Source organism: Homo sapiens, chromosome 1 (genome assembly GCF_000001405.40).
Source record: "Homo sapiens chromosome 1, GRCh38.p14 Primary Assembly".
Classification (NCBI taxonomy): Eukaryota; Metazoa; Chordata; class Mammalia; order Primates; family Hominidae; genus Homo; species Homo sapiens.
This window is the reverse complement of record NC_000001.11, coordinates 236,860,183-236,877,197: the sequence shown is the minus strand read 5'-3', so window position 1 is coordinate 236,877,197 and position 17,015 is coordinate 236,860,183. Positions and strand designations below refer to the sequence as shown.

The window sequence follows — 17,015 nt, the reverse complement described above, 5'->3', positions numbered from 1 at the left end:
CCACTGTCACTAATTAGAATGGAGTCAGAACTGGGAAATTCTACAGTGAAGTGCTTGGAGGTTGCGTGGAAATCTGTTTTCCAAAGGCTGTTCCAGCACCACAGTGTAGAAGGGAATGGTTCCCGGGAAGCAGTGCTACCTACTAGCTCTTATTTTCCAAGTAATTTCCCAGAAACTGCAACAGGCATGGAAGAGAAGAGAACCAGAAGAGGCAGGGCTCATACAGAAACAATGCTCTGGAGAGTTGAAAGAAACCTTAGGTGGTCAGTGGACTCAGCTTTCTACCTTCAGGCCAAACACATTTACAGTTTCCCAGACAATGAGAATAGATATTTCGCAGTAACTGAAGAGATGTTGGTGATTTCCTATCTTGTTAATTCTAATCTGATATATCAGGTTGCAACTGCTAAGAATCATTAGCAAGCTAATTTTGCCAATAATGTATCTTGAGAGGCTAGTCACGTTGCTTCTCAATGTTTTTTTTTCTTTAATCTGGTAGCTTTTACATAGTAAATGATAGAATGGACTATTTGGTAAAGTTCCAATTTGCACAAGAAGCAAATTTCTGAGTGTAGTGTCCCACCATATAAAAAGATTCTTTTTTTGAAGCCAGCATCATATTTACATAACACATAATGTATTTTAATTATGTTCCTTTAAATATTTATTTATTCTACTTCACAGTTGATATTAAAGTCTTTCATTCTGACAACAGTCCATAGGTCCTCTTACCATTCTCTTCACTAAGCCTGTCATCAATTACCCAAGCCCATGCTCATCAAAACCCATTATTAATGGGTGGCCATATCCCTTGAGACCAAGTCTGCCACATTTCCTGGTACATAAGTCCTTTGTGGAAACGCAAACCCTGTTTTCTAACGTTAAGCAACGATAGTCAAACTATCGAATCCTTCAAGTATGAAGAACAGCTAATGGATAAAAGACACATAATACTGTTTCTACTTATGAAGATGACTCATTCAAATTTTAAATGGTATGATGGTTAATTTCACGTATAAACTTGGCTAGGCCATGGTATCTACTTTTTGGTTAACCACAACCTAAATGTTACTGTGAAAGTATTTTTTTTGATGTGATTAACATTTATCAGTAGACCTAAGTAAAGCACATTATCCTCCACTATGTTGGTGGGCCTCATCCAGTCAGCTGAAGACCTTTAAGAGACAAGACAAGGAGTCCCTTATTCACTCCCCAGCCCTACAAGGAAGAAGAAATTCCACCTCTAGACTGCCTTTAGACTCAAAAAATCAACTTACCTGTGTCTCCAGCCTGCAGATTTCAGTCTTGCCAGCCTCCACAATCACAGGAGTTAATTATTTAAAATAAATCTCTTTCTCTCTATATATAAACATATCCTATTGATTCTGTTCCTCTGAACAACCCTATACAAATTGGCTAAAAGTACAGTTGTTTGTAGTGCAAAAGGAACACTTTTCTTTTGCATACCTATAACCAGACCTTTATTGTGGCATACCTATGGAACCAGACCTTTATTGTATACCTATACCCAGATCTTTATTGTATTTCTGGCATACCTATAACCAGACCTTTATTGTATTTCTGCATCAGAAAAATAAACTAGATGCTATGGGACCACTGTGTTCAATGTTCCAGTATGATAATGCTGAGAAAGTGAACTGTACATGGCATAAAAAGTCTAGTACCCACAGTTAACGTAGCACTTACCACATATCACTATGATCATGATCCCAGGAAAAATCTGGTAAACTGAATAATTATCATGTGAACAAATTTGAACTTTCTCATCTTTACATTTTATACCTCTTTATGTTGTTAACCCAAAGGTTCCCACAAAGCTCCCCTTTCAGGAACTCCCCAAAGTGACCATTTAGTTCATTCTTGCTAGATGGGCTTTCTGTCTCCAAACTACTACAAGGTTAGAGTTCCTTCAAAGGAACCTGTAATCATTCAGTCAGACACCTGCTTCAAGACAGAGTGGGCAAAAGTTCAAGTAATGATTTTGTGCCAAAAAACACAGCTTCTCCACTCGGTTTAATTTCACGAGAAGAGTTCATTATAATTCTCAGGAACTGAATCGCAAGTGAGAGTGTTAAGAAAAAGATTATTGCAAGCCAAAGAAATCCAAGAAAAAGCAAAGAATAGGAATCACAAAAAGTTTTCTATAGCATGCTCTGAAAGTATTCTGGCTCTCACCCAAGTGAACACCAGAAAATGTTTGTGTTTATATAACAAAAAGTCAATGTACTAAACATAAGGGAAAATCCAAAACAACACAGGTTTCCCACTGTTTCAAACACTGGCATATAAGAAAATTTGAAGTGAGGACAAAGCTCATTAGTATAACTTACTTTGAAGTGGTTGCTCCTCCAATCAACAATGGAATCCTTATAGCTAATCTCTCCATTTCCTTGGCAACAAAAATCATTTCATCCAGGGAAGGAGTGATGAGTCCTGACAGGCCAATTATATCTATTTTTTTTTTTTTTAAAAAAAAAAGGACAAAAAGGACAGTGAGGAAGATGAAAGAAAAAGGAAAAGGATGAAGATCCATTTAAAAAACTTTGTAATGAAGACCAAAAGACCTAACATGAATTCCCAATTCCTAATTCTTTTTTTTTTTTTTTGAGATGGAGTCTCATTCGGTTGCCCAGGTTGGAGTGCAGTGGCGCGATCTCGGCTCACTGCAACCTTTGCCTCCTGGGTTCAAGCGATTCTCCTGCCCCTCCTGAGTAGCTGCGATTACAGGTGCCCACCACCAAGCTTGGCTAATTTTTGTATTTTTAGTAGAGACAGGGTTTCACCACGTTGGCCAGGCTGGTCTCAAACTTCTGACCTCAAATGATCCGCCTGCCTCAGCCTCCCAAAATGCCGGGATTACAGGTGTGAGCCACTGCGCCCATCCCCAGTTTCTAATTCTAAGACATCTTTTCCGACTGGGGAATTTCAATCTATTGTTTGCTTTTGGTAGTAAATAAGATTTATAACTTAAAGTTGCAATAATTACTTGCCATAGTTTTAGGAAACGATGCAATAAAGGTATATTTAGCTCATGATTTCCCGGACTTGAATATATCACAGTGTGAGAAGAAATATAAAAATGACTACATACAACTGTTCTAAGAAGTCTGTCCCCATTCCCCATCTCCAGGACTCGGTTCCATAGTTACTCATTCTCGTCTCTCAACCCCATTAGAAATGGCAATGAAAGCAACCTGGTGCAGGAGCTGGCACTTGATTGTATGTCCCACAGAACCCTCATGGGGCATCACTATTCACTGACAGACAACTAGGGAAATGACAGACACCTGGGGATATGACATTTAGAGAAATGCCCAAAGTATAGTTGCACAGTACCTGCTTTGTGGTCAAGAGCAGCTTTCAGTATCTTATCACATGGAGTCATGACTCCTAAATCAATAACTCTGAGGCACAGAAATGAGACATGAGAAAATTAATGAAAGCCCATTAGAGACAAAACTGAAATGAACATTTTTATTTCAACCATTAAATACTGCTCTAATGTAAACGAGAATCAAGTTGAAATGCTCACTAAATATTGAGGATTACCACCACAACTACCATTTATTCAGTACTTACTACATATACGCCAGGCACTATGCTAAGCTTGCTTTTAAGCAGCTTTACCGACCATCATTCACATACCATACAATTCACCCATTTCAAGTGTGCAATTCAATGGTTTCTGGTATGTTATTTTTTTAATTGTGGTGAAATATACATAATATATACTTTTCCATTTTAACCATTTTTCAATGTATAATCCAGTAGCATGAATTTCAGTTACAATGTTGAGCAACCATCATCACTATTTACGTCCAAACTTATTTTATCACCCAGAGCAGAAACACTGTAACCATTTAGCAATAACTACCCCTTCTTCTCTCCCACCCTCTCCACTCCATCCCCTGGTAACCTCTACTCTACTTTCTTTCTCTATGAATTTGCCTTATCTAGATATTTCGCATAAGTAGAATAATACAGTATTCATCCTTTTGTGTTTGGCTAAACTTCACTTAGCACAGTGCCTTCAAAGTCCAACCATGTTTTGAGGCATGTCAGAAGTTCAGTCTTTTTTAAGGCCAAAAAATATTCCACTGTATGGAGATAACATGTTTTGCTTATCCATTCATCTGTTGAAAGACACTGTGCTCAGCTTTTTGCATAAGCAATCTCTTTTGCTGTTGTTTTTGAGACAGGGTCTCATTCTGTCACCCAGGCTGGAGTGCAGTGGCGTGATTACGGCTCACTGCAGCCTTGACCTCCTGCCTCAGCCTCCAGAGTAGCTGGGACCACAGGCATGCCCCACTAAACCCAGCTAATTTTTACAGTTTTTGTAGATAGGGTTTCCCTATGTTGCCCAGACTGGTCTCAAACTCCTGGGCTCAAGTGATCCTCCCACCTCGGCTTCCTTTGGGATTACAGGCTTGAGCTAGGATTATAGGCTTGAGCCACAGTGCCCGGCCTGCATAAATGATCTCATTTAAACCCTCATAGTAACTCTATCATGAAAGCACTACTATGGGTCTCATTTTAATGAGAAGGGGCCCAGAGAAATTAAGCAATCTGTCTAGTCACACAACTAATTAGAGGCAGAGTTGGGATCTGAATCAGTATCTCACTCCAAAATCCATTATCTTATCTATTTAGGCCAATAAAAAGGGCTAGGGAAGTTCCTCAATAAACACCTGTTGAACTTGGAAGCCAACAGGGAAGATCATGAAAAAGAGGTCAGGTCCTGCACACGAAGAGCTGTCAGGGAACTCTGATTACTTAACGCAAGAAAAAGAGGGAGAGTGATTCAGGGTGCAGGTCACCGAGGGCAAGAGGGCAAGACTGAAAGGAAAGGCAGACTCTAGATGGGCACACAGGAGAACAGGCGCTGGGGCAGAGGAAGCCTGGAGCACACTCTCAGAGAACGGAACAGTGCCAGACAAATTTCAATTCATGGAGGAGAGAGCTTCCTGGAACTCAGAGGAAACAGGAATGTCTGCCCTGGAAAATGTTCTAGGAATTACTTCTATTTTAAATTTACAGAGTACCTTAATGTCATTTTGATAATTTAACCTTCTTCTATTTGTTAAAAGATGTTGAAAAACTTACAGCATGCATTTTTACTTATTTCATTACATCAACAATTCTTAAAATTAAATAGGCAAAAACGTTTAAATAACAAGAACAAAAAAGAATGCTTAAGACTACAACATGACATACTGGCTGGTAACAATGGGTGCTGAACGCTGGGGCAGGAAGGGGACTGGCTTCTCACTATATGCCCTTTCATACCACTGGATTTTTAGCTTGTACTCATATTACTTTTTTAAAAAAAGTTAAAAAAAAAACTATGACATATGGAATCTTCAGTAAAAAGTAAGACAACTTCAAATCAATGGTAAGTATATTCAGCTTTGTTGGCACTAACCCAGTAGCAAATGCACGCTGGAGGTGTTAATGATGTATAACCACTGCAGGTTATAGCAGGAGTGAGATGGTACCACATGCTTTTTTTTTCTTTTTAACATATTGAAGAAAGTCTAGTACCTGGATCTTTTGTTAAACAATGACTAAGCATAGACTGTCACATATAAAACTAGGAAAAATAGCATACTGCTTTTAAATCAAGACAAAAAGGCATACATTTCAAAGCTGATTTTTTTTTTAACATTGTATATGTTTTAAAATTCAACTAAAACGCATCAGTATGATGGCAAGAATCATCTTGCTGTCACTGCTTTTTCTTGTTTCAGCAGTGTTTCTCTCAGGAACATCTTATGTGGATGCTTGCCATGTTTAAGGAAGAGTAAGGAAATTGTTGTGGCTGGAACAGAAACGGAGAAGGATAGAGTTGTGGGTGATAAGTTCAGAGGAGGAGGAAAAGGCCAGAGCCTGTGTAGACTTCGCATCAGAATCACCAGGGGAGCCTTTTCAAAATCAAACAACCTGAAGCTTGGACTCCATTTTCCAGAGACTGTGATTTAACTGACCAGGGGTGGGGTCCGGGAAGCTTCCAGATTATACCCACTACACAAGGGCCTTGCAGACCACTACAAGGGCTCTGAGTTTTACTGAGCGAAGAGAGAAATCACTGGAGGGTCTGAACAGTGGAGTAAGAAATCTGACTTAGATTTAACAGATTTACTTGGGACTGAAACAAGTCCGGGGTAGAGAAGCAGAGAGACTGGTTAGGCTGCTGCAAAAATCCAGACAAGAAGCAGTGTAGGTAGTGAGAAGTGGTCAGATCCTGGAAATACTGTGAAAGGAGAACTGATGGGTTACATGCGGGTTATCTGACGAGAGGATGACGCAAGAGTTTCGGTTTGAGCAGCAAGAAAAATGAAGTTGCTATTTCTTGAAATAGGGGAGAGCTGGGGAGGTGTTCACAAAATGGTGGCAATTAGTTCAGTTTTCAAAATATTAAATTTGAGATTTCTTTAGATATCCAAATGGAGCTGTCAGGGAGTCCACTGGATATGTAAGTCTAAAGTCTGGGGGAGAGATCCACAGTGGAGATACAATTTGGGACTTGTCAGTACATCAGATGATACTGAAGTCACAAAACGAATGAGACGACTTCAGCCCACCCCAGGCCTTGTTACTCCAGGTGTGCTCCTGTACCAGCAGCACCAGCCCTATCTGAGAGTTTGTCGGAAATGCAGAACCTCCAGTCCAGACTTACCCTAATCAGAATCTGACTTTTAACAAAATCCCCAGGTGACAAGAAGGTACATTACAGTTTGAGAAACACACATCTAGACAGTGAAGACAGAGAAGAGGTCCAAGGGCTGAGCCCCAGAACATTTCTGTGTTTAAAGACCACTCCCAGAAGGAGAGATCAGCAGGAGAGAATCATAACCACAGATCAGTGAGGTAAGAAAACGACCAAGAACACTGAGCCAGAGGCCTGGGTGACAAGTTCAATTTCCAGCTAATTAGCCTGCCTTCAAAGTCGTCTTGCTGGGGAAATAGTCAAATGTACTATTGATTAGAGGGCAATTCTCACTATTTCCACACACTGAAATGACACTTATGGTACTGGGATGCACAAAGGAAGTTGCTCACAGCCCTGGTCAACCCATGTAGGACAGAGGCCCAGTTCCACTCTCCAGCAGGAAAGAGAATGGGTTTCCTGGCACATCTGAGTTGAGAAACTGTTGGCAAGCTCTGAATTAGAATATGGTGTGGCAAGTACTACAATGAAAGCATTTACAGTGTACTATGTATGGAAGGCCCAAAATGGGTGACAACCAGAAGCATCCTAGGGGAAAGTCTGAAATGGATTTTGAAAAATTAAGTGGGTATTAGCTGAAGGAAACAGGGAAGTCTAGGCAGAGACCAGCACTATGAGGGCCCAGAGTCCTGAACTAGCTAGGAATCCCAGGGTATGTGAAGTCGGAGAAGAGGGCACAGGTCAGATCCAGCCTGCCCTCTGTGCCTGCTACCATTCTTCCCACCATCCCTCTCACCTCTACCACAACCTCCTGTTTTACCCCTACACATAACCCCATCTTCCTTGACTCTCCCTCAGTTTCCCTTTGTCATTTTGAGCCATACCCTATGTCTGTAAGCCTCTCCCTATACACATTCCTGTATTTCGCCACATGGGAGGCTAAAGAGAATAAAAATGAATGTTACGGAAGTTGTTGATTTTACAGTATTTGTTTTAAAGTGCTCAGAAGAGAGGTTGGGTATGGAGGCTCATGCCTGTAAACCCAGTGCTTTAAGAGGCCAAGGCAGGAGGATCACTTGAGGCCAGGGGTTTGAGTCCAGCCTGGGCAACATTAGCGAGACTTTGTCTCTACAAAAAAACTCTTTTTTTAAGTGCTTAGAATAGAGCTATGAGAGCAAGCATTTAATTTGGATACTAATCCAGGAAAAAAAAAGTTGCACTGAATGTTTTAGCAAAGGCATCTCATACTATTTAAGAATACACAGAATTTCAAAAATACTGTAATGTAAGACAAAAAGTCCTTTTCGTCTCCAGAAGAAATTTAAAAAGGAAAATAAAACTGCATCTGCATCCTTTTAAGGTACCTGATACTTGCTGTCATTTTACCCTTTATTTCTCAGTTAACTAAGGTGGCAGCCTGTCTGCTGCTCCTGCAATTCACACATGCCACCACAAGATGGCATGTGTTTCCATCCAGTCTGCAGTCCAGCCATGGTTTCCAACCTGTACTTAAGTAGTGCCAGTGGGGTCTGTTGCCATTTCCATTACTTTTTAAAAAAAATAAACAAATTGTTGATCTCTCCTTCAAAAAATGGATCCAAATCCTCTAAATAATTATCAGCATGTGAAGTTCTCAGGAGAGACTGCATTACCGTATCTTTGACTTAGGTACAATCATGTTCCTCACTCAGCTGAACGTTCCAACATTATACAGTTTGGAATTATTTTCATGCTCAGCCATATACTGCTCTTTTACGTATACTAGACAGTTATATTAAGAACCACTGGTTATCAGACCCATGTTTAAAAACATTAGATGTATGATGTATAACTTTAAAATGTATCATGAAATAGCGTATTTTTCTTACATAATTAAACACTGTGCATTATCTGTAATGGAAAATGTCCTCTTTTGTCTTTTCCTAGTTACTATTACAGAGTATATGTAAAATTAACCTCAATGGAATTAATCAAAAATATTTCCAAATATTCTACATTATTTCTTGAGGGGAATTTAGAATACAGACATAACTCAGAGATGCTATAGGTTCAACTCTAGACCATTACAATAAAGTATCTCAATAAAGTGAGTCATGTGAATTTTTTGGTTTCTCAATGCATATAAAAGTTATGTTCACACTATACTGTACTCTATTATGTGTGCAATAGTATTATGTCTAAAAGAACAAGGTATACATACCTTAATTTAAAAATACTTGTTGCTAAAAAAAAAATGCTAATGATCATCTGGGTCTTCAGTGAGTTGTAACCTTTTTGCTGGTAGAGGGTCTTGACTTGATGTTCATGGCTGCTGACTGATTAGAGTGGTGGCTGCAGAAGTTTGGGGTGGCCGTGGCAATTTCTCAAAATAAGACGACAGTGAAGTTTCCCACACCAATTGAATCTAACTTTCACAAAAGATTTCTCTGCAGCATGTGATGCTGTTTGATAGCGTTTTACTCACAGAACTTCTTTCAAAATTGTAGGCCAATCATCTCAAACCTTGCCCCTGCTTTATCACCTAAGTTTACGTGCTGTTTATTCTAAATCCTCTGTTGTTATTTCAACACTGTTCATAGCCATCTCAAGAAACTACTTTCTTTGCTCAGCCTTGCTCAGCCGTAAGAAGCAATTCCTCATCTGTTGAAGTTGTATTACGAGATTGTAGCAATTCATTCCCATCTTCAGGCTCCACTTTTAATTCTGGTTTACTCTTGCTATTTCTACCACATCGGCAGTTACTTCCTCCACTGAAGTCTTGAATCCCTCAAAGTCATCTATGAGAGTTGGAATCAACTTCTTCCAAGCTCCTGTTAATGTTGATATTTTGACCTCCTCCCATGAATTACAAATGTTCTTAATGGCATCTAGAATGGTGAATCCTTTACAGAAGGTTTTTTGATTTCCTTTGCCCAGATCCATCACTATCTATGGCAGCTACAGCCTTACAAAATGTAAGACTTGAAAGTCAAAATTCCTCCTTGATTCACAGGCTGCAGAATGGATGTTGTGTTAGCAGGCATGAAAACAATATTCATCTCCTTGTATATCTCTATCAGAATTCTTGTGACCAGGTGCACTGTCAATGAGGAGTAATATTTTGAAAGGAATCTTTTTTACTGAGCAGTAGGTCTTAATGGTAGGCTTAAAATATTCAGTAAACCCATGCTGTAAACAGATGTGCTCTCATCCAGGCTTTGTCATTCCATTTATAGAGCACAGACAGAGTAGATTTAACATAATTCTTAAAGCCCTAGAATTTTCAGAATGGCAAATGCGCACTGGCTTCAACTGACAGTCATCAGCCCCTCCACAAGAGAGTCAGCCTGTCCTTTCAAGTTTTGAAGCCAGGCATTCACTTCTCCCCTCTAGCTATGAAAGTCCTGCATGGCACCTACTTCCAACAGAAAGCTATTTCATCTACATTGAAAACCTATTGGTTAGCATAGCCACCTTCCTCAGTGATGTCAGCTAGATCTGGAAAACTTGCTGCAGCTTCTCCATCAGCACCTGCACTTCACCTTGTACCATTATGTTAGGAGACAGCTTCTTTCCTTAAACCTCATGAACCAACCTCTGTTAGCTTCAAACTTTTCTTCTGCAGCTTCTTCACCTCTCTCAGCCTTCACAAAATTGAAGACGGTTGGAGCTCTCTTCAATTTGTTATTGCTCCAGCAATGCCAAACTGCTCTGGGTGAGACTCTGGCTTAAGGGAATATTGTGGCTGGTTTAATCTTCTATCCAGACCACTCAAACTTTCCTCATAACAGCAGTGGGGCTGTTTTGCTTTCCTATCCTTTGTGTATTCACTGGAGGAGCATTTTAGATTTCCTTTAAGAACTTTTCTTTTGCATAAACTGTGCTATTTGGTGCAAGAAGCCTAGTTTTCAGCCTATTTCAGTTTTTGACATGCCTTCCTCACTAAACTTAATCATGTCTAACTTTTGACTTAATGTCGAGGTGTGTGACTCTTCTTTTCACTTAAACACTTAGAGGATTACAAGGCCATTACAGAGTTATTAACTGGCCTAATTTCAATATTGTTGTGTCTCAGGGACTATGGAGGCCCGAGGAAAGGGAGAGAGATGGGGAATGGCTGGTTAGTGGAACAGTCAAAATATATATATTTATGGATTAAGTTTGCCATCTTCTATGGGTGTGGTTCATGGTACCCCAAAACAATTAAAATAGTAACACTGATCACTGATCACAGATCATCATAACAGATACAATAATAAGGTTTGAAATATTGTGAGAATTAGGAAAATGTGACACAGAGACGTGAAATGAGCACATGCTATTGGAAAAATGCCATCAAGACACATGTTCTATGCAGGATTGCCACAAAACTCAAATTTTTACAAAATGCTGTATCTGCAAAGCTCAATAAAGTGAGGTACAATAAAACAAGGTATGCCTGTGTCAATATTAGACATTATACTTGTTTACAACTCAAGTCAAAAAAAATATTGTAAAGTAAGGTGACATATTACGAAGTCCCAGCTTTTAGAACCAAAAGCCCTGAATGTGCTTGCCCATGACACTTGCTAGCCATGTGACTATGATGAAATCTCTCAAGTTCTCTAAGCCTAAGTTTTCTCATCTATAAAAGGAGAAATACAATAACAGGCAGGGTAGTAGGATCAAAACCATGAAAAGGAAGGATGAAAGAAAAGAAAGGAAAGGAACCAAAATGACAACAACAAAAAGGTGACAAAGAAAAAAAAATCAGTGATACTAAAGAACTGTATAAATTGGGAAGTGGTAAACAAATGGTAGGTAATACTAGATTCTTGGTGAATACATCCTTAGTTCTATTCAAATCCTCAAATTTGCAATTCTATTGCATCATATCTTCCCCATTTAAAAAATACATTTTCTCTCTAAACAGAACTGTCAGTTTTAGCCCTCTTTATTTCTTTTATCCCCACAAAGAAAAAACATTGTTATCATTTTTGAGATTCACTGCAACAATGATAAAAAGCCAGGAAAGAAAAGGATTAGATACAGGATAGGTTGCTAGACTCACTCACTAGGCTAGGTAATTCCTTCAAGCATACTAGCCTGGTACTGACAGTAAAAGTACACATTATTCCATAAGACAATCTCCAGGGACACTTGTCTACTAGCTGACACCATAAAATTAAACTCACCAATGGAAGAGTCTATGTGTTATCACACACAAGCCAAAGGAGTGTTTGACATGAAGTTTGCACATTCACTTGTTTTTGTAAAATGAAAGTAACGTTTCATCAGAAAGTGTTTCTCCAGTTAGACTTATTAGCAAAGATACGCAAACCCTCAGTGCCCAACACATAGCAACTGGGTTTGTTGCAGGAAAGCCTCAGGCTTAATACGCAGTCTTCACAACTGCTGACATTCAGTTCCAGTAGCACCCTGGAGAAATGCCACAATGTTCCCTGGCTTCTTAAAATGTCTTTACTGGAGAAATAAACATTGCTAGTATAATACTCTCAGCTAAGAATCCACTGATCAAAATAAATGATGATAAAGCACATGACAATGATACCTCAAGAATCACTTTTAGGAAGTTTACCTACAAGTCACTTTCTTCAATGGTTCTTGTCCCATTAAGGCTGAACATGTACCTGGCTATTTAGCCTGAGAAACAGTAAACTTTTTCAAGGAGAAAAGTCAACTAAATCATTTTGGTGTCTCTAGTATAATGCCTGGTAAGTAGAAGATGATCTATAAACATTAACTGAAGTGAATTTTAACTGACTGTGATGAATGCAAACAGGAACCAACAACCTCAGGTTTGCAAAGGTAAGCCTATAGCAGAAATGCTTTGTAGACTTTAGGAAGCGAACACCTTATCCAAATATTTATTATATAGGTAAAATTTCATTACAACTATCTATCTTCAATAAATTTATCTCTTTAAAAAATAGTAAGTACATGGATAGAAATAGTATTCCTCGTTTCTAGGACTAGGAGAGAACGCTAAGTCTTTAGACAGTAAGTGAGCAGGTAAATAGAAATGCTTGTGAAGACAGTCAGAGGGAAAAAAAAATGCCTTCCTGACACTGCTTCTCTGTCTCCAGCCTTCCTGAAAGGTTCTTAGCCGCATTTAATGAGCCTTGAAGGCAGAGATGGATAAAAATGTTGACAGCAGGGACACAGCTTAGCAGGTAATTGTTACTTGACAGCAAAGAAGAGAACTGAGGAGTACAGGGATAGCTCCAGTCAATTTTCTTCTCTATCTAGAGAAAATGGCACATTGGAAAGAAGTCTATGACTCAAAAGGACTGTTGGCTGGACATGGATATGGGAAAGCATTATTTCCATCAGGCTTTTCATTACAAAGAATATGTTCAAATCTAAGCGAAACACATACTTACTACAGGTCATCAGCTCTCACATGCAAATGATTTTGTTATGAATATTTATTAATTATAATAAGATAGAAAGGGGTTTTACTTGTATACAACATTCCAAAATCTAGCTTAATCACCAAGAACACAGGGTCCTGGCTCTAAGCAAAGCCAACTGAGACTTGTACAGAGAAGGCCTTCCTGTAAAACTGTTTAGCCAAGGTCTCATAAGATCTCGGTTCTAAAATCTAAGTTTATTGAAAGGAAAAAGAGGATATGATGAACACCACTGGCCATGGGAAGGAGCCTGATATTCCGGCTATTAGCACCTCTGTCCCAACATCCAACCCCAGGAATCCTCTGGACGGTTTCCACCCCACTTGAATAGCTTTTACTATTCTTTATGTCCTTTTTGAACACGGATAATTACTAACTTATTTCATTTGAAATGCTGTGTTCACGTAGAAAATTCAAAAACACAGCAAGCAAAAAGAAATAAAAAATAACCTCTAACATCCACTGCCATGCCCTACTCTTCCCACCCATTGAAGAATTATTCTGTTAAAAGGCTTTCATTTTTAAATGGAAAAGGGGTTGAAAGAGGTGAGGTCCTAACTTACCGGAAATTATTGCAGCCAAGGACTACTCCAACTATGTTCTTGCCTATGTCGTGCACGTCGCCTTTAACAGTGGCCAGCACGATGGTGCCCTGGTAAGGGTCCTGGAAAGGAAGCCAAGCAGCTCAGCAAGGCAGGGTTGTTTAGGGTGGAACACCTAGTTCTCCAGAGCCAGGCAGGGGCCAGCACAGAAAGCAATTCAATACAACCAAGAGCACCTCAAAGACAGACCTGGAAACCGAAGCCCAAACAGTTCAAAGGAGGCCCACCTAATGGGCTAGCCCAAGGGGCTTCAGCCAAGATCAGGAGGTCCCATCCTTTCAAAGAATAGTTGATGTTCACACACAAAACAGCACCACAGCTGAAGACCACATCCTTAACTCTGGGTGCGGGGGAACTTATTTGACAAATGTTTACGGTTAGCCATTAAGGGAGAGGCAGGGGAGAGGGGAAGGAACAGGTTAACTGTATGTGTATGTCCCATCTGAATCTGAAAAACCACAACAGCCCAGACAGAGGGCACGTGAGTATCTTTCCTCAGCACTGTTGTTCTATGCACAGTTAGCATCCCCCACTACTGCCCCAAAAAAAGAAAAAAAGCAAAACAAGAAGGATTTTTATAAACTCTGTGTTTGTCTGAGCCATTCACAAACAGATCAATTTAAAAATTCAGAATCCTAGGGGCCAAAGCTGTCTGAGCTTCACAGGGAGCTAAACAAGGTCAAAAAGCTTAATGATTTACTCTGGTGGTGCAGCCAACAAGAATTAAATTGAATCCAGAAGTGGTGCCAAGGACATCACCAGCAGAAAGACTATTCAGTTAAGAGTTTTCTAAAAACAAGCATGACTCAATGACCTCAAGGGCGGGGACAGACCTTTGAGTGAGCAGTGCCTGGCACAGTACTTGGCACATCACAGCAGCTTCGTAAATGATCAGGTAATGAAGGCACAAATGAATGAACTGGCTTTGTCTTGAAAACATGGGTTTTGATTGAAAAATTGTATCTATATTAAAAATGTTATAAAGCTACATTCAAAAGAAAGTCCCAGAGTATTCTGATACTCGGTTAAAAAAGGGAGAGATGTGGGATCATTTCTCTATTTTATCCTCAATAACGAACACAGCCAACCCTGACTGCTTAGGCCCCTACCACCACCTCAAGTCTTCCAGGTCAACCCACTAAAGGCCCATAGGCCTGAACAAAATGACTTGCCTCTTCTTCTACTGTGCCGTTAAGCACTCTGGTTTCTTCTCTTTCTTTTTCCATGAAAGGGATAAGGTGGCCAACAGCCTTCTTCATAACCCGGGCTGACTTTATAACCTGAGAAAAAAAGCATAGATCAGGTATCTTTCCCAAACCACAGGAACAACTGCTGATGGCCACTTGTGAAATTTGGGCACACATTAGGAATGCATGCTTTGACTTCAGGACAGCTACACTGGAGTCTTTTGACAGTAGGCAGAACAAAGGATAAGCTCCCCAGAGGGAAAGCCAGTGAATAATAAGGTACAGCAGAAGGAAAACAAGGCTGGAAATCAAATGTTGCAATTTCTGTCTTCTGAACTTTGGCTTGTTTTTTTTTCCTCTGTCTAGGAGGCCCTCTATCTTTTATCCAAGAGTTCTATGTATCCTTCAGGACCAAAGCTTCTCCACCATGAGCTCATTCCCAGCCTTCTCTTCTCAATCCCCAGCTTTAAAACTCACTTAAAATCCAGTCTTACATTAAGGCAAGATGAAGGCCTTTTAGTTTCTCAAATGCCGCACAGCCACTAACCTACATGCTCAACAAGTATGTGTTAACTGATGTGGTTAGCAGCTGCTGTAAATCAAAGTAAGAGTTCTGGTTTTACTTTAAACAAACCACTTAATGTACCGTCATTTAAAACAGTAACATTTGTCTCAAAATATGCATCCTTACAGATGAACAGTGCCTGGTCAAATCAAGTCTTAATGTTAGTAACTCTACATTTATCTTGGGTTTTACTTTACTTTTGGAGGGGAGAGATAGGCACTGGGGGTAAGAGGTGATACAAAAATTAGAACATAAGGATTATGATAGATTATGATGCTAAGAATTTTCGGATTTCCAACATCCACACCACTCTGAAGACGGATTCTTGCAGACATGACTCCTAAACATATTTAGAGAAGGAATGACTAGCCAATACCATTGAACTCTTGTCCAAATTAAAACCTGAGAAATATATCCCAAATCGCCATTTATTAAATGACAAAGAAAAGATGCAACTGTGAAAATTTCTCCCCATATTTTGCTAACCTGAGGTAGAAACATTTTTCCAGCTCCAAAAAGATCACCAACAATTTTCATTCCATTCATCAGGGGTCCTTCAATTATATTGAGAGGTCGGGGATATTTTTTTTGGTTTAACCTGGCTTCCTCAGTATCCTCAATAATATGTTTTTCAATGCCCTAAAAAAGACAAAAAAAAAAAAAAAAGAAAAAGAAAGAAAGAAAAAAAAAATCACCTAAAAAACTGCCTTACCTCCACAGAGCCATCATGAAAATGCCTAACAGCACAGGTTCCAGAAGCAGAGTGCATGGACTCAATCTGGCTTCCTATCACTAATTTAGGCAATTCAATAAGCCTCAGTTTCCTCAATTAGAATATTACAATAGTATCTCATATGTTTATTTTGAGGATTGAGATAAAGTGCTTAGCTGGCTTTATTGATACAAACAAAGTAAATACCTCATACACTTCCAAAACAGAATGTTGTATGCAGTAAATACATACAATTTTATATGCCAATTAAAAAATGCTTTAAAATATACCTCAGTAAAATGTGCTAACAGAGAAGGACTAATAAGTTCAAATGCATAAAATCCATTTTGTATCTTCGTGTTTTACCAGATTATACATTAATAAATGCCTGTGGAGAAATCAGTAAGTTTTCTCACTGTAATGCTGTAGGGCTGGGGAGAAATGACACTGGATGAGGCCCTTAAATGAAGTTCAAATCCATGAAGCCTCCATTGACTTATCCGCCCTTCAATGACAAGCCCCACTCCTCCAAGGTCCCCAGTTCAATGATCCTTGGATTGGCCAACTAGCTCCACAAACTGAAATATGTGAATCTCAAAAGGTGAAAGAGTTAAATGTTAAACTCCAGAGCCAAAAAAAAACAAAACAAAACAAAACTCTGAGATTCTCCAGACTCACACATGAGGAAACTGAAGCCAAGAGATTACTGATCTTGCTTAAAGCCTAAAATTCCAACTATGAAACTGACTTGCTGACCAACTGACCAGCAACTTGGTCCAGGACAGGATTCGCAGCCTCGGCGCTACTAACACTTGGGAAGGAATATTCTTTGTGGTTTGGGGCTGTCCTGGGCACTGCAGGATGTTTAG

At 39.5% G+C, this 17,015-nt stretch overlaps 1 protein-coding gene across 13 annotated transcripts in view; it reads right to left on the bottom strand.

Moving 5' to 3' along the window:
- MTR (5-methyltetrahydrofolate-homocysteine methyltransferase) overlaps positions 1-17,015 on the bottom strand; it is a 108,701-nt gene that overhangs the window by 26,784 nt on the left and 64,902 nt on the right. For 5 of the 13 annotated variants that reach the window (XM_005273141.6, XM_011544194.4, NM_000254.3 and 2 more), the window contains 5 exons: positions 15,921-16,073; positions 14,855-14,962; positions 13,644-13,744; positions 3,358-3,425; positions 2,352-2,472 (listed from right to left, as the gene is read on the bottom strand). In XM_005273141.6, coding sequence (XP_005273198.1) covers positions 2,352-2,472; positions 3,358-3,425; positions 13,644-13,744; positions 14,855-14,962; positions 15,921-16,073 — 551 coding nt within the window. The remainder of the gene's footprint in view (positions 1-2,351; positions 2,473-3,357; positions 3,426-13,643; positions 13,745-14,854; positions 14,963-15,920; positions 16,074-17,015) is intronic. The other 8 variants (NM_001291939.1, XM_047421182.1, XM_017001329.3 and 5 more) reach the window with 3 other exon arrangements.